The sequence below is a fragment of the Homo sapiens genome, chromosome 2, assembly GCF_000001405.40.
Source record: "Homo sapiens chromosome 2, GRCh38.p14 Primary Assembly".
Taxonomy (NCBI): domain Eukaryota; kingdom Metazoa; phylum Chordata; class Mammalia; order Primates; family Hominidae; genus Homo; species Homo sapiens.
The window spans coordinates 138,045,047-138,063,755 of record NC_000002.12 but is presented as its reverse complement, the minus strand read 5'-3'; the positions used below and the strand labels follow the sequence as shown (position 1 = coordinate 138,063,755).

At 38.2% G+C, this 18,709-nt stretch overlaps 1 long non-coding RNA gene across 2 annotated transcripts; it reads left to right on the top strand.

Annotated features, from left to right (window-relative positions):
• Positions 1–1,921: 1,921 nt before the first annotated feature.
• On the top strand, positions 1,922–18,276 carry LOC105373636 (uncharacterized). Of its 2 annotated transcripts, none has more exons than XR_923367.2 (3): positions 1,922–3,608; positions 4,050–4,108; positions 16,946–18,276. It is a non-coding gene; the product is annotated as an uncharacterized LOC105373636 (long non-coding RNA). The 2 variants fall into 2 exon arrangements; XR_923366.2 differs by lacking the exon at positions 16,946–18,276 and adding an exon at positions 5,563–5,863.
• The last annotated feature ends 433 nt before the right edge of the window (positions 18,277–18,709 follow it).

Genomic DNA, 18,709 nt, shown 5'->3' with positions numbered 1-18,709 from the left:
TGTGTCATTGGTAAACTTTCTTTGGGTGCAGGGGGAGCTGTGGCATATCCTAGGATATAGGAGTCATCATCAAAAACTACAACTGAAATATGATAAGAGACCCTTGTAACTGCCAATTTGGAAGCACCTGTTTTAAAATGTATTTTTTAATATTGTTGACATTATTGTTATTACTGTTATTATTAAACCATCATTTATATACATTGAAACATACAGCTCTTAACTGTTTAGGTGTAACTGGCATCCATATGAAGATAAGGAACACTTTCATCACCCCAGAAAATTCATTCAGGCTTCTTCCCAGCTAATTTGGTTTCTTTCCAGTTTAGCACTTCTATGCATAAAGAGGCTGTTCTTGTATATTATGGTGAACATAAGCACTCATTTCTGTTGGGCATATGTCTAGGAATGCGATTGCTAGGTTGCAGGATATGTGTATGTTAAGATTTAGTAAGTACTTTAAAATATTTTTTCAATGTGATTGGACCAATTTCCACTCCTCCAGCTAGGCAAGAGAGTCACAGTTGCTTCATAAACTTGCCAACACTTTGTATTGTTCGTATCTTTAATTTTACCCAACTTACAACCATGATGGGTTCCTATACATACGTAAAAGTGATTCATGATTTGAGTCATTTTTCATGTTTATTGGGTATTTTGCTACCCTGTATAATAAAAAGCCTGTTTATCACAGTGTGTTTTAAATGTTCATTTTCTTATCTACAATTGTGACCTAACAATTGGTCTCTGATTTCCTAAAGGTGAGGGATGCCTTTAATAGGTCTTTCTATTCCGAATGCTTAGCACACTGCTCTAGCACATTGCAGATTCTTAAAAATATTGATTTGAATGAAATGAGGATGATTATTAAATAGCTCCTCCTATGCTCCAGATGCTTTTCATGTATTTCTCAGTTAATCCCCATACCAACTTCATTTACAGATGAAGAACTTGAGGTTTAGAGAGTTTTAGGTACCTGCCATGGTCACAGAGCTACTAATTGGCTTTCATTGCTATAGTCTGAAACCAAGATTTTTGGATTCAAAAACTATTTTCTTTGTTCCTCCATTCACCACAATGGCTTCAGATTAAAAAGAGCCTTCCATTGTATTCATTCTGCACCCATTTACTGAGCAGAATGGCAGAGGATGCTGTCCCTTCCAATATCCATGTCTCTCTTCTGTTCTCTGGGCACACAGCTAAACTACATTTCCCAGAATGCTTTAAGTTAGATTGCATCTGTTATGACACTGGAATGTGATATAAAATTGTATACCATTTCCAGGTCTCACCTATAAAAATCTCCCACATGCAACCTTCCACTTACTGCTCCTGTGGAACATTTGGAGTCTACATACTGAACATAGAGTTGCCATAATATATAAGAAGCCTGGGTCCCTGAGTGACTGTGTGGAACAGAAAATGTCACCCCACCCCCACATCCACACCCCTGCTATCACAGTGGTCTTTCACGAGTGAACATTGAGTTCTCATTGTGATAGACAACAGAGGTTTCGGGGTTTGTTAGAACACCTCAGCCTACTACAATTTTTCTCTAGGTGTTGGTGCAGAGATGAACAGCTGTTAGCCTTAGGGAACTTCAGTTTGATAAACAAATGCAGTTGATCCTTGAACAATGAGAGGCTTTGTGGTGCTGACTCCCTGCACAGTCAAAAATCTGAGTATAACTCTGGACTCCCCAAAAACTTAACTAGCAATATAGCCTAATGTTGATCATTAGGCTTTACCAATAACATAAACAGTCAGTTAATACATAATTTGTATACTATCTGTAATATATACTGTATTCTTACAATAACGTATGCTAGAAAAAAAGATAATTTCATTAAGAAAATTGCAAGGAAGAGAAAATATTTTTACTATTTATTAAGTGGAAGTAGATCTTCATAAAGATCTTCATCCTCATCATCTTCATGTTGAATGGGCTGAGGAGGGGAAGAGGAGGGACTGGTCTTGCTGATTCAGGGGTAGCAGAGGCAGAAGTGATCAAGGAGGTAGAAGATGAGACAGAAAAGGAAGGAACACTGAGTGTAAATTCTATTGAAAAAAATCCACATGTAAGTGACCTTTGCTGTCCAAATCTGTGCTATTCAAGGATAAACTGTAATTCTAACACAATATGACAAATGTTATAAAGCTACAAATGGAGTTCTATGGCAAATGATGGAGACGGAACAATTCTGTCTTATAAACTTATAGAATATCTCATTGAGAGGATAATATTTTTATGTGGATCCTGAAAGATCAAATCAAAGCGATGGGCCTTTCAGGTTATAGAAACACTATGAAGAAATGCATGGAATAATAAAGAGCATGGTGTACTTTCTCCTGGAGATTTGTGAAGTTCTAGGTAGCTGGAGTGCAGCTCTCAGAAGGAGCATGGTAACAGAGAAGTCCAATAAAATAGACTGGTGGTTGAAATTGAATATGCTATAAAAAGGAATTAGAACTTGGTCTTATGATTAATGGGGAGCTATCTCTTATGAACTGTAGGGAGAAGAAATTAGAAAATGGAAAATCATTTGAAGATATTGCAATTATCCAGGTGAAAAATAATGAAGATCAGAACTAAGACACTGTAAATAGGAATTAAGAGGTGGTAGAGTCTTAATAGTGTTATGGATGCAAAAATAATAACATTTAGACTATTCCTTTTGTTGAACGTCTCCCACTATTAAAAAAGTATTACATAAATCAAGTCTGAATGAATCTTTGGTATTTGCAGGTCTCATTTTAGAATCCATGTTTCCAACTTCTCAGAACGTCTAGAAGCCTTGTCTATACACAAAATGTGCTTATCGATAACATTTTATCAATGAAAAAGCTGAGCTTTGATTCTGGAATTATTAATTTTTTACATGCCTTTCCCCAATTTATCATTTCTTTTTCTGCTTTACATGGAAGACAAACAGTTTAATTCCACAAACAGTTATTGAGCCCCTATTATGTTCTCATATAGCAATAAATACTAATGATAAAGAGGAGTATAATCTTTTATCTCAGTCTTTATGAAATTCCTGGCCTAGTAAAGGTAGAGAGAAAGTAGGCCAAGAAGGACAAGATCACAGCACCAAATGGCTACAATGCAGTCTAAAGGAACTGTTAAAATCAGGTGGTATGAGGGTTCAAGTGCTAAGAGGGTTCAAAGGAGTGATGTTAAAGGATTAGGTGTGGTTGGTATTAGTCATGGTTCTGTGCAAACCACAAACAATGTGGTACAGGTTTTCATGATGAAGACAAGGGTGATGAGATGATTGTGATGATGACGATGATGATGGAGAAGGAGGACAAGTTCCTTTTAGCATTTACAGTTTTATCAGCTACTGCTGACATTGTCTGTGGGCACATGGCCAGGCAGGCCATTCATCCACATTGACATCTGGTTTCCTGCATTATGACTCAAACCACTGATTATGTAATAATAATGATAATAACTGTTAGGCAAAGAGTCAATTTCCACTGTTTGTTTTGTATCTTCAGGGGATTAAAGGCAGTTTTATAAAACCTCCCTTAAATTTACAGAATAAAGCAAATACACAGGAGGAAATATACCACCAAGGATTAAAGAAGCTCATGTCAGGACCAGGGTAAGAGACACCCAGAAGCTTAGCAAAATGAATGAATGAGTAGTTTATTTACTTTTGCTCCTGAAAATATATGTACAAACAGAATCACAAGTGGAGGGGAGAAGAGTAGACCATTGTATAATGAGGGAAGGTAGGGGAAAAAAGTAGAAAACACGATTTTAACTTGTTTTTAGATTAAATAGGGCTGATTCCAGAAACATCATAAATTTCCCAAAGGGGAAAATTTTGGCAGAAAATCAGAATCACGATTTTAGAACTGAACGTTATTTTTCTAACTGTAACAAAAAAACTCTAAATTTTTCAGCCTGAAAATGAATTTTGGAAATAATATAATAGATGCATTCATTTATTCTCTAAGCACATAATGATAGTCTCTTATAGACCAGATCCCATATTAGGTATTGTTAGAAAAAATGCTGAGACAGTGTTATCTCCCTCTAGGAGTTTGCAGTCACATAGAGTGACTCCCAGGGAAATCAAAACAACCAGTAACCATGGTGGTGAGTATTGTGGAGCTATGTGCAAGGGTGCTAAGAAAATATGGAGAGATGAAGTCTTGGTCTGCCTGGGACAATGTGAAAAGGTTTCCCAGAGAAGAAACAATCTTCAGCTGGGATAAGCCATATAAGCAGGAAATAGATAGGAGAAAAAAATGGAGATAGGCATTTAAGGCAAAGAGGAAAAAATGAGAAACTGATCATGCATCAGTAATAGTTATTGCAGGTAAAATTCACTGATGAGTCTTAAATTTATTGGGTAAATCTTAAGAAAAAACAAAATTTACATACCCTCAAAGCATCTCCTCCAGGGTATGATTGTCTACAAAGGCAAAGATAATTTTACAGAGGTAAAATCTGGCAGAAACAACCTTCTAATGAATGGAAAACAGCATTACCAGTAATAAGACCTATCAACATTATGAGCTCTGTGATATGATGCACTGAGAAAAACACAACATCATTTTGTGGTGTTCTTGCCAAAAAAGAAAAAAGCATAACTTTACTTTGATCCTAAGAAAACATGAGACACACCACAACTGAAGAACATTTAGCAAAACAACTGATCATTGCTCTTCAAGAGTGTCAATGTCAGGGAAGAGAAGGAAAGACTAAGGAACTATTACAGACTGTGGCAGACTAGGAGGAAATAACAACTAAAATACAAGGTGGGATTCTGAATATGATATGGAACCAGAAAAAAGTTAGTGGAAAAAAGGGTGGAATTTGAATAAGGTCTTTAGTTAATAGTATTTCCTCATGTCAATTCATTTTACTTGATAAATAAACTATTGTTACACAAGATGGGAGGGGAAGAGTGAGGAATATACAAAAAGTCACTGTAATATTTTTTCAACTTTTCTGTAAGCCTAAAATTGGTTCAAAATTTAAAAGTTGAAAAAGAGGAAATGCAAGTTTAAGATAATGAAGCGTACATATGGCAGATAAGTACACTGATAGAGTCTAAGTGTTGGGTATTCTGGGAAATGAGGTAAGCCAAGCCCTTCCTAAGGACTTTGGGCTTAATCCTATAGATAATAACAGACTATTGAGGCAGTTCAGCAGCAGAGCACCATAATGACATTTGTGGTTTATGAACAACCTTTGTTGACAGTGTGGACAAGAAGATAGAAACAGTGGAGTTGTGCACACTTCTAAGTAGCTGTAGGCTCAGGGAGAGATGTTAAAGGTTTGTACCAGGATAGTTACAAAGGGAGTGAAATAGAATGACAGAGTTCCACAACAGTCTTTTGAAAGATTAATCATCATTCCCATGCAATATAATTAAACTGAAATATGAGTGCTCCTAGGCCTATATTATATATGAATGTTTCCAAGGCTATTTTTCATACTCACCACCCATATACCCATGTGTGTAGTCTACATTGTTGTCCATTTTATCCTGATTATGAATTTACTGATTCTCTGTCTTCTATGCACTCCGTCCTCAATTTTAGCTTGAAATTTGGTGTTATTACCTGGAGAGCACCTATGCCTCACAAGAACAAGTAAAATTTCTTTCAGTGGATCATACGAGTAGACAATGCATTTTTTTCCTTCCCCAAAACATGCTCCATGTAGGCATCAAGAAACAGAGACAAAGAATTTTCACTCTTTTTCTGTGCTAAAGTTGCCAATCCGTCTAGCTGATCAAGACAGCTAGGGCTAAGAATCAAGTAAGTTTTTAGCCAAGAGTAGCATTGAAAGAAATAAAGAAAGAGAGAGAGAGAGAAAGAGAAGGAGAGCAAGAGAAAGAAAGAGAGAGAAGAGGCCGGGCACAGTGCCTCATGCCTGTAATCCTAGAACTTTGGGAGGCCAAGGGGGGTGCGGATCACCTGAGGTCAAGAGTTCGAGACCAGCCTGGCCAACGTGGTGAAACCCTGTCTCTATTAAAAATACAAAAAAAAAAAAAAATTAGCCAGGCATGGTGGCGCGTGCCTATAATCCCAGCTACCTGGGAGGCTGAGGAAGGAGAATCACTGAAACCTGGGAGGCAGAGGCTGCAGCAAGCTGAGAACACACCACTGCACTCCAGCATGGGCCACAGAGGGTGACTCTGTCTCAAAATAAAGAGAGAAAGAAAAGAAAGGAAGGAAAGAAGAGAAGAAGGAGAGAGAAGGAAGGAAAGAAAGGAAAAAAGGAAGAAATAAAAAGAGAAAGAAAAGAGAGGTAGAGAAGATAGGAAGAAAGGAAAGGAAGAGAAGGAAGGAAGGAAAGAAATAGAGAAATGAAGGAGAAAGAAAGAGAGAGGGGAAGGAAGGAAGGAAAAAGAAAGAGAAGGAAGGAAGAAAAGATAGAGAAAGAAAGGGAAGAAAAGGATTGTCAAAAAAATTTTCTTGAACCTAAAAAAACAAAAAACAAAACAAACAAAAAACCTCACATCCCCAATCAGTTCACTTATTTGGATTTGCCACTACTTTGATGTTTTATTACTCACTGCAAAATTCAACAACTTGTGCTTCCATTTGAGGCTGTTAAGTTTTCCTGTGTTGTGATTTACTCTGGAGCTTCTATTTTAAAAGACACAGAAGTGGGAAGGGCTTCAGTTACAATAAGAAGGCTGGCAAATGTATCTTTCTCCATCCTGCATTCTCTACTACTTTCTCAAATGCCTCCCTGAAAATGGAGCCCAGGTGACCATCAGGTGGCTTCACAGTAAAGAGTTTTGATTTGATAAGTAGAGGAAATAAGTTGCCTTCCTGGGTGATTTTCCATCTGGGATTTATGCCATGCCTTTTAATTAAGCATATTTCCCTGTTCTCCCTAAATATTTTTCTTTTCTTTTTTCTTTTTTTTTTTTCTTTTTTTTTTTTTGAGACAGGGTCTCCCTCTGTTGCCCAGGCTGGAGTGCAGTGGTGCGATCTTGGCTCACTGAAACTTCCACCTCCTGGATTCAATTAATTGCCCTGCCTCAGCCTCCCGAGTAGCTAAGATTAGGTGTGCACCACCATGCCCGGCTAATTTTTTTATTTTTAATAGAGACAGGGTTTTATCATGTTGGCCAGGCTGGTCTCAAACTCCTGACCTCAAGTGATCTGCCTGCCTCGGCCTCTCAAAGTGCTGGAATTACAGGCATGAGCCACCGCTCCTGGCCCCTAAATATTTTTCTAACAAAGAAAAGACTCCTGATAGGAAGGCTACATTAGGCCACCACCATGTCTGTGTGTTCAATGTTATTAAATCCACTTACCTTGAGTTAAAGCAGGTGGAAAGCCTGAATATGCTGGACACCTTCAGTGGAATTGTGGCATAGGATCCAGTGCAAAAAATATACATAGTGGAGATCCTTGCCTTCCAAGATTCCAGGCCTCCAGGTATTAGCAGAGTACTTGATTTATTCCCATGTCTCCTGCCCTACTTCATCATATCATGCATAAGATTGCCAGACCCATCAGGTACAGAGCTATCCATTGCCTTAAACATAGGAGTAGGTAAGGAGTAATCTTGGACTTGGGTGACAAAGGGTAGAAAAGGATCCCTGAAAAAGATCTTGAAGGGAGTAAAAAAGAGACTTTTCAACCAAAAAAAAAAAGGAATTTATTTTTTTTAAGTGAAGATACTCCAAAGATAAATAAATAAATAAATAAGTCTAATGCCTAAGTTGAGATGGGGAACAGAAAAAGTGAGGGAGTGGAATTTGTAACCAGAGGGCAGGGCATAGCCTGGTGACAGGGAAAGATGCATTGAAGAGAGGAGCATATAGTGCTTGAATCTAGCTACCTGGAACGTAGCTTTGCTCCCATCAACTGGTGTAAAAAAATATGATCAATGTAGTAAACTCTAGCAAGTTTGGTGTTCAGGATGCTGAAACTCTTGGCCTATTGTGTGGCCCTGATATGGGAGTGGTGGGATGGTGGGAGATAAGTCCAATAACAACACCAACCCTAAGAGAACTAGGGGGTATGTATTTGTTTTAGGGGAGTTATCAAAATATTATGGAAGAGTCACACTCTTTCTCAGAGTTTAAATTTATTCATTCATTTATAAAACAATGGGGGTGATTAAGAAAATTTAAGAAAAATTTTAGACAGGTTTTCCTCAAAGTCCTTTTATTTTCTACTCAAAATGACATTAATAATCAGACATTACCCACATTGATTTCTCAGCTTGCTCTGAGTGAGTTTTTTAGGCCTTATTTTTTTTTTTTTTTTTTTTGATATTGGAGTATAGATTCAAGATCTGTTCTTTTTTAGAAGGAGGAAACAAAAATATTTTTTCTGTTGTTAAGCTGTTGCTTATGCTTCTTCCTTCTTAAGGGGACTCATTCTCTGTTATACTCAAGACTATTAGCAGAAATAACAACTATACGTCATTCCATTTCTTATTTGAGAGTAAGAGGTAGGTTCTCTCCTTTCTGTTACCCAGGTTTTACAAAGTAAAAAGCAGGCAAAGTTCACAGGACATACTATAAGATATAAAACCCAAAGAACATGCTACATTTGCCTTCCTGTTCCTTGCTATAAATCGTACACTGGCGTGTGCCACGCTGTTGTAGGGACAGTACTCTCAGTCCCTTATACTGACACAGAGGCAATGGTCAAGTAGAATTGTTCATGCGACATGTAACATGGTTCCAAAGATAAAACCTCATCTATTTCACAATTTTGCCCTGAACCAGCCCTGAGTCTAAGGAAAAGTCCTAACAACAGTGTGGTGGTGGCTCTGTTGCCATCACAACTCCACTAGTCAGGACTATGGAACCATAGCCCCATCATCACCCGATTCACAGACTCCCCACCAGTGGAGTGAATGGCTGCTGGCAGGATGCAGAGGTTCTTTATGGGCATGGGCAGGATTTCATAACAATTACAAAAAAAGCTAGTTTTCAGTCAACCTCCATGAAGTATGATGTGCTATATATTAAAAATATTACTTACCACTGAATAATTTATCCATGACCTTTTGAAATATGAAGAATTATCTTGTCATATATTATCATACTAAATCATCTCTCTCTTTTGTTTAATGGCAGACATTTTTAATATGCCTATGAGGATCTACTTTAAATATTCAGCCTAATATAGAATGTCTGCATACACATATCTTTTGCAGATGAAGTGGGTTGCCTTTCTTTTGCCTTGGAGGTTCTGGGCTTTAGATTGAGAGATGGCTGGGCAATGTGAAATGTTGAAAGATTTGTTTATAATTCGACTGCTTCATGTTGAAGTACAAAGCTAAGGCTAAGATGTGAGTTGATTGTCTTAAATTCTTGGGCAAATCAGAAGCAAAACCTAGACTCAAACTGAATTTTCTTGATTCTCTGTCCAGTACTCTATCCTGCACATTGACTAAGAGTGGGGTTTAGAAGCAGCTGTTGTCCAGCAAACCAAGACAGGAAAAGGATGAGAGGAAGAAATTCATGACATATATAGTGAATGATGTTGTCTAATACTGTGCTGCCAGGAAATTAATTATTTGATTCTGTGGAGAATAAAGAGTTCTACCTGAAATCCTAACATGGACCAAGTTACATGTGTACTAGCTTTGGGACATTTATTCTTTAAGAAAATATTTATTAAACACCTATAGCATGCTAGACATTATCATCAATGTTGTCTAGGGATATGGGACACTGGGGTGGGGACCTCCATTCCCTGGCTCACTGTTTCTACAAGAAGAAGAACATCAGTAAATATATCACACTTGGCATCTCTAAACCTCCACACTCACATTTTCCCAGCCTGGGAGTGGAGGTGGCAGTGACTTACCACGAGGAAGTTCCAAGTAGAAATTTGGCATAGCTCTTCCCCTTGTTCTTTTCCTTCTTTTTGAAACCTGCCTGCTCAGCTCTTGGACATGTGTTAAGCTGAGCAGTAAAATTTCTGTTCTAATGGGGGTCAATGTGTGGTTTCCCTCACTGTTTGTGACCAGAACTGTCAATCTGTCTAATACAAAGGCTCCACATCATGAAATCAAATTTGTCTCACATCTATGTGAAGTTTCCTATCAGTTATATTGGTAATGAGGTGGGTTGAAATCAGGCAAAGGGGTGCCAGGTCTACAAACAGCCTATGGGCCATCACAGCGCAGGCCTTCATTATGCGTGTAGGAGCAGTGCAGTCACACAGGGCCTCTGACTTGAAGCAGCCCACGTTTCCATTTTGCACTAAGCCCCACAAATTATGTCGTGGATCTCTCCAAAGTTTTTAGCCCAATGGAAGGTACTTACTTATGGTACCAGCTGCGTGGCTAAATCTTAAACTACTCAAGTTCAGCTTGAACAGGTATTGGAAGATCATTTTAGATACAATAGGTAGAATATTTGTCACTTTTAAGCCTTAAGGTGGCTGAGACCTATACACAGAGCTCTGGTAAGGTTCTAGTATTAAAATGTATTGGATTGTATTAGATCTGTTATTCCAAATTCAATTCAATATTGGGAATGTGGAGAAAACTCTAAGTCCTGGGGCTTATTAGATGCCTCAAGAATCACCCTTCTCCTACACACACACACACACACACACACACACACACACACACACAAATTGACCTCACATTTGTCCTGGATTAATTACTAAACTTTTTCTGTATTTTATTGTATTTGAAGAGCACATGTTAGAGATTTTGGTCCTCAGCGCCCCCCATTACAAATTTCAGAAACAGCAAAAACTATTTCAGTTCCCAGATATTGGTTCAACTGAAAGTCAGATACGACAAGGGAGAAACTTCTTCTAGGAGGCAGGTGTTTTAGGCCTAATCAATTCCATGGCAAGTAGTTTTGTTAATAGACATTGAGGAGTAAGAATGCCTGCTGGCATGGGAGTGAGCAAATATGCTTCCAGAAAGACCCATGCTCCGTGGGTGCCAAGGACACAGGGATCAAAGGAAACATGGAAATTAGGGAGGTTTAAATGCACTTAGTGGGAAATAATGTTACTTCAAGAAAGACTTGATGATTGGACTGCCGCCACTGCATATTTGTAAACTCTAGAAGACACAATGCAGTGTCAAATGGCCCTTTCTGGAATGGGAGACAGAATCCCTAAGTGAAATTCCATCTCAGATAAGATAAATGTACAGTGCCCAAGTTAACTTTTGTTCAAAAAGATCTCCTAATTGAGTTTAAATTTACAGTTGATCGTCTTCTTAAACAGGGATGGCCTGATTGGTACATTTGGAGCTGAAATCAGAATTTTTTTCACCTACTCACTTTTTTTCAGATACCATCAAATCTTTGCTATGGTCTTTGGAAGCCTTAAGCTCTGGGTTTCTTTATCTGAAATGAGGTCTTGAGGAGTAGGAATTCCCTTTGTTTCTGTATGTTTAAGGTTTGCAGCAGTACTGGAATAAACTCTTGTGTTTTAAAAAATCTTTGGACTCATTAAAAAGTGAGGTACATGACAGACTTGACGTTGAACTAATTCAGTTCCTGAGGTTCAGAGAAATGGCCTGTATTCTAGTGATGGATAACACTGGCTGTGGCTTCTAAAGGAAGCCAGGCATTGAAAATATCTTAAGCTAAGACCGAGTAGAACACAAAAAGGACTTCCCTTTCTTTGGCTTTACATAGCCAAGGACAATAATATTTGATTTTGGACTTAAATTACTTTGAATTTTGTTTTATCTAAATTTGAATTTTCAAGGGGATCTAATCTATAGACTTAATTTTCTCCCAAGGAATTTGATCCTGGAAAGAAGTTTATATTCAGCTATTTGGAATTTTATTATTGTGTTAATTTTAAGTTTCCTGTTGATTTATATTTGGCAATGTGCTGAGAAAATAGGCAGGTAATATAGGTACCTACTTTTACAAGATTGTTATAGATTAAATGAGTTAATGGAAAACGCTTAGAAAAATACTATATCAGTGTTTTCTGTTAACCTTTTATCTTATCTATCAATTTGTTCAAAATTTGGGGGGTGGTGAAGAGAGAAGCTGTTGGGTCTTCCATAAAGTCCAACAATCAGTACTAGTTACGGACACACAACAGTATTATTGTTCTGGCTTCAGTCTAATGATAGAGGCAGATGAATAAACTGATAATTGTAGTACATTATGTGTTATATTATAACAAAGATGTGATATACTGTGGAAACTTGGAGATGGGAGCAACTTACAATTCAAATGTTACTACAGCTGTACACAAGACTAGTCCAAGATAAACTGTGAGTCTGAGCCTAATATTTTTCAGCCCTACAGCTAAGCCTTCCTATTACTGCTCCCCACCATTTATCTGCCAGATAGGGACCCATGTCCTTTCACTGGCTGCTCTCCTAGAGTTGCTCCTTCCAATATTTAGTTCCAGATTCAATAGCAGGTTGGCACAACAGCTGCCTGAAGCACCCATCCATATGAGCTGCCAAACCATCAGCTGAGGATTTAAAACATCACTGGATACGGAATAAGGTAGAGAAAATTAAGTTTCTCAGAAAGGAAAGGACATTGTGTACTAGATGAGATTTGCAGATCTAGGCAACAGAAGCTAGCTTAGGACAATTAAACAGAAAAGGAATTTATTACATATATTTAGCAAATCACAGAATTATTAAAAGAAAGTTGGAGGCTAAGTGTTCAGGGTAATGCCTTTAAAGCACACTGTGAAACTGATCTGGTAAGAAAACTGCACACTGACTAGAAAATACAATTTGTACCAGCACTACTTGTGCATCAAGAACTCACTGCTTCTGAAAGCACTATTGTTCCTTCATAATGCCCCTTTGACATAAGAAAAGCACCTTTGCAACTTCTGCAGCCACTGCAGACTTCACATGCTGGATACTTCACTAATCTTGGGAACAAAAACAAAATGGATTATGTGTAATTCTTTCTTCCTCACACTGCTTGCTTTCTATCATATTTTGCAAAGTGTATTCACTTGGTGGAGTCTAGGTAACATGCCTGAATTCAAGCTGCAAGGAAGCTGGCAAAGCCATTTCTATGGCTTCTTTGTTGGAGTGGTGTTGGGAAAGTCTTAGTCAATCAGAAAACATGACAAATGTCTGTATACTAATGATAACTTTGGAGGAGGAGTGAAACTCTTTAAAAACTTGACTAAATAATGATTGATATCACAAAATATCTTATAACGTGCTTCTGTTTCAAATTAATGGAGAGGTTTTGCTGTGGTCTGAATGTTAGTGTTCCCCCCAAATTCATGTACTGAAACCTAATCACCAATATGATATATTAGGAGGCAAAGCCCTTGGGGGTGATTAGATTAGGTGATGGGCTTAATGCTCTTACACAAGAGGCTCCAGAGAGCATCCTTGCCCCTTTCATCATGTGAGAACACCACAAGAAGGTGCCATCTATGAACCAGAAAGCAAACCCTCACCAGACACTGCATCTTCTGGCTCCTTGATCTTGGACTTCCCAGTCTCCAGAACTGTGAGAAATATATTTTTGTTTTTCATAAGACACCCAGTTTGTGGCCTTTTTTTTATAGCAGTTCAAATGAACTAAGACATAAAACAGTTTTTCTTTTTTATTTTACATGAAAGTTTGGAGCCAGAACTCAGAAAAAACATATGCAAGTCCAAGTATTTCCACTATGAGCTTCTGTTATTCAACATTCCCCAAACAGTGCTCTGCTTCTCTTTTCAGTGCTGAGTATATATGAAAAGCAATTTGTTTTTTGTTTGTTTGTTTGTTTTCTTGAGACAGAGTCTCGCTTTGTCACCCAGGCTGGAGTGCGGTGGCACCATCTCGGCTCAGCACAACCTCTGCCTCCTGGGTTCAAGCAATTCAGCTTCCTCAGCCTCCCTAGTAGCTGGGACTGTAGGCTCATGCCAACATGCTTGGCTAATTTTTGTATTTTAGTAGAGGTGGAGTTTCACCATGTTGGCGGAGCTGGTCTCCAACTCCTGACCTCAAGTGGTCTGCCTGCCTCGGCCTCCCAAAGTGCTGGGATTACAGGTGTGAGCCACCATGCCCAGCCCAAAATGTAAATTATTTTGAAGATGCATCTAGTTATTAGCCTACCTGGGGGCACCCTTGGTATTAACATTTAACCATGTGTCATAGTAAAGGTTCCCTCCTTTCCTGGAATGGACAGTATCAAGGACTCTTGTTCAATAAATGGTGTCAGATATTGTCTGATAGTCAAAGCCTTCTAAAATCTGGACTAAATTACCACTTCATCTTCTGCTACATTTTCTCCTTCACCAGATGCCACAATGACACTGGACACTGCAGGCTTTGCCCAAATATATTATTCTATTTGTCCCTCTCAGTTTTATAAATTCAGGCCTTGATGCCAAATATGCTTTCAAGTTCTGGCTGTGCAATGTCATAGATAAGATATATTGGTCAAGATTTCCTCCCTAAAGTAAAAAAATGGTAATATTATCAAGTAATTACATAGAAAATATTCGCCATTGTTATTGTCTTTGTTTTTTCCTTTACTTCTCTCACTGTTGAAGTTCTACTTAACCTCCAAGTCAAAATAAAATACAAATGCTCCCAACAAATGAACTCCCCACTACCACCTTCCACCCTCAACACCATGATGCTTGGTTTTCCACTTATTGCACCAATAACAGTTTCACACTGTCATCATCTCCATTGCAGCCTTCCTTCTCTGTAGAAGTCAGAGTTGGTTTCATCTTTGTATTCCCCAAACAAAAATAAGTTGCTTATATGGAGCAGAATTTCAGCAAATATGTGTTGGCTTGAGCTAAATAGTGATTATTATTTTGTCTCATACTCCTGCCCTTTGTTAATTAAGCATAGAGAGGTTAAAGGATTTTAATGGAATACAGAGTTATTGCACCATCTAACTTATTTATTTTTATAAAGGGTTTCTGGAACCACATTGCAAACTTCTTAGGTGTAGGCTACACTTGAGTTGAATGCAGCACCAAAAAGCACTTCCAATCTGTTCTTCCCTTGAAAGATCACTGATGGATGCTGGTGGTATTAGTCTGTTCTCATGCTGCTGATAAAGACATACCTGAGACTGGGTAATTTATAAAGGAAAGAGGTTTAATTGACTCACAGTTCCACATGGCTGGGGAGGCCTCACAATCATAGCTGAAGACAAATGAGGAGCAAAGTCACTTCCTATGTGGTGGCAGGCAAGAGAGCTTGTGTAGGGGAACTCCCCTTTATAAAACCATCAGATCTCATGAGACTTATTCACTATCATGACAATAGCATGAGAAAAACCTGCCCCCATGATTCAATGACCTCCCACCAGGTCCCTCCCAGGACATGTAGGGATTATGGGAGTTACAGTTCAAGATGAGATTTGGGTGAGGACACAGCCAAACTATATTATTGGTCTAGTGAAAAACTGCAGTGCTGGACATTATCAGCCAGATTCTTCAGTGACATTTTTTGGTAATAAAATCCCATTGGCTAAAGAAACTGAAACAGAAGGATTAGAAAGGCAGCTTCTCCATCTTTGGACATGGAAATCAAAGGGGAAGAGGATGGCTAACACTTTTCTAAACTTCTTCCAGGGGATTGATCTAGTTTTATTTCAATTTGGAGAAATAAAGTGTGTCATCAAACTTGCATCCTGAACTTTTACATTTTTGACCATGTTTTTACTGTTAAGGCAGTTATGCATGTGTGCCTATATACACAGATAAGGTCTGGGGAAGACTGTGAAGCTGCAATGGGAAAATACATAACAGTATAAAATATAAGCATAGTGATTTAATCTGTTTGCAGATAATGTCAGCCTTACTTCAAAGCAAGTTCTAGTTGCTATTTAGTCTTCCATTGTCTTGAAGGATCTTTTGGAGGGAAGAATAACAGAATGTTTGACTTAGAAGGAACTTGGAAATTGTACAGCACTTTCATATGATGTAGAAGTATCCTAAAGCCAGTGCAGAAGTGAGACCTGATAATGGTCACATGGAGTAAACAGCACCAGTGAGACTGGAATCGGATGTTTCTGTGCCACTTCGTTCTGATCAAAAGCTACCTATAGTAACTACTCAAAGATAGCATTCTTTGCTTTCTTCCTAAGCATCAGGCATGCTTTATTTCAAGCTGTTTCCTTTGCAAAATTATTACTTTGCAAATATTAGCAGCTATGTTGGAAAACAACACAATTTCAGTGTTCGCTATGATATGAAAGGAGAAGGAAAGCTTTGCAAATATTTTTCTAAATATAAGTAATCCTAACTATGGGGCTAATCATTTTCCTGTCACCTTCATCCTCAATCTTAGTCTAAAAGTATATGCTGTTGAAAAACTTGTTCTGACAAGTACTTTTTTTTTTTTTTTTTTTTTTTGGATAGCAACACTTTTCTTTGCATCTCTTCAACTTTGGGCATCTGCAGGTCCTGCTTTGGCTTTGTTCCTAATTACTATATTATTAGCTGATTTTCATCTATTCTTGGCCATTTAGCCTACGTGGACTTGTTTTTTCTGCCCTACTAATTAGGAGTTGAGCAGTGGGGTAGCCAAAACAAGACTGCCCAGATTCAAGAGATAACCTCATTCAGTATCAATTTTCTCATTTCAACAAACTAGGGCTTCTTACATTTTGATGCATTCGCTTTCAATCCTAATCCGCTATTTAATAAACCTCCCAAATTAACAACCCTGGGTCCATGTGGCTTATCCAAGAGAGCCCTGTGAGCTCCTGTTAATTCAATCTCAGTGGCAGAGTCTGGGCTTGATCTGCTTCCTGAGAAGCTGTATCTAGTTTTAAGCTTCTGTGTTTGGCAGCTTCACTTGGAGAGAATTTACTAATAACTCAGAGTGTAGTTTCCTCTGGGTGCCTCTGAGTGTGTGTAGGTTTTACATACCACAAGAGAATGAAACTATTGATAAAAGTTGAGCTTTACTTCACTAAATAGGAAACTCACGCTGGATGGAAAAGAAACTTAGACTCTTTGAATTGTTCCCATTAAATCTGAAAAGTCCTAATTAATTCTCTTCAGTGGTCTGCATTTCCAACCATTTATGGATTACAGTAGAACAAGGAAAACAGGGCCTATGAAGAACCCCCACATGGTTGAATGCTCATCTGTTGCTGTCTTGAAACTCTAAAAGCTGTAATCTTTGAAGGTATGTTTTGAATGTGCAACCTTGAAGCATGTGGTTGAACAAAGGATGTACATGGAAAAAAGGTAAATGCTTTCCCCTGTAATGACACTGTTGTCCAGCTTTTTGAACAAGGCTCTCCCTTTTTCATCACTGCCCCGAGTAAGAATGAGGAATATATCAGAGTCCCTACTTCAGCATGGCCATTTGTACCCACATATGGCCCTGTAACCTTCTGTCCTGGCTTGCATCCTACTCACACATCACCTTAATGACTCAGGTTCTCTTTTTCTCTCCTTCACTAGCAGTTGTTTAAAACTATTTATTTAGCACTCGCTCTATGCCAAACACCATACCCAGCACTTCACCCACATCGCTCATGGAATCACCATAGTGGCTCTCTGGGATCAGTGTTCTCATTATTCCCATTTTATAGGTGAGGAAATTGGAATTTAGGTTAATAACTTGTCCTGAGTCACATGGTAAATGTTCGAATGAGGATCTGTTAGGGTTTGAATCCTGACAGATTAAAGTCAGAGCCAACGCCCTAGAAACATGAATACAGGAAAAACAACATTTTAAAAAATGCCCAACTCAAGAATATGATCTGAATATTACACCCTAATTAATCCACTCCATGATTTCATCAGTGGTCTTTTAACATTTTATTGATTTATTTTTGCTTTTTTAAAAAAGTGTCTTCAATATAGTAGTATATTAGATTGTGATCTACTAAAATCCATCTTAACGAGGCATCAATGAGGGAATGACAGCTGTGATAATAGTAATAATAATGACCATCTACTTTCTCTCATTTCATTTTCGTTATTTAAAAAAGGAGTAGCTGAGTAACCTGTTTTTCTGCTTAAGGTCCTTAGGTCAAAATTGCACTTTCATTCACTTTTTATTATATTTATTTCCTGATCTCTCTTTCTGTCTCTCTTTCTCAATCTGAGACTAGGTTTAGAAAAATGTGTGTGGTACAAGTGGCAAGTTCAAAATCTGTAGGTTTCAATTTCTAGAACCTGATTCCTTAAAAGGACATGTGGCCTCCATACCAAACCTGCAAATATTTCCAAAAACTCCTCTTTGTATAATTCACCATTTATGTCCAAGAACAATCCAAAAGCCTTGCTGCAAGACACTCTCTCCCTTGACTGCCACGTGGGTCACTGCAAATCCTGATCTTAGATGATATTTCAGTCTGAAAAGAGGGAGAGTGGTTCACTTTCATGTCATTCCTCATCTTCTTCTATGGCTACTAAGTCAAAATCACATTGATACACATTTTATAATGTTTTCCCCAAAATCCATGTGTTAAAGCTCTAACTCACAGTGTCTTACTGTTAGAATGTGACTGCATTTGGATATAGGGCCTTTAAAGAGGTTATTAAGTTAAAATGACAGCATTAGGATGTGCCTTATTCCAATAAGACTGGTGTTTTTAGAAGAAGAGGAGATTCAGCACACAGACACACCAGGGATGTGCGTGCACAGAGGGACGACCATGTGAAAAGACAGCAAGAGGACAGCCACCTGGATGCCAAGGAGAGAGGCCTCAGAGGAAACCTACCCTGCTGCCATCTTGGTCTTGAACTTGCAGGCTCCAGAACTGTTAGAAAACAAATTTCTTGTTTTTTTGTTTGTTTGTTTGTTTGTTT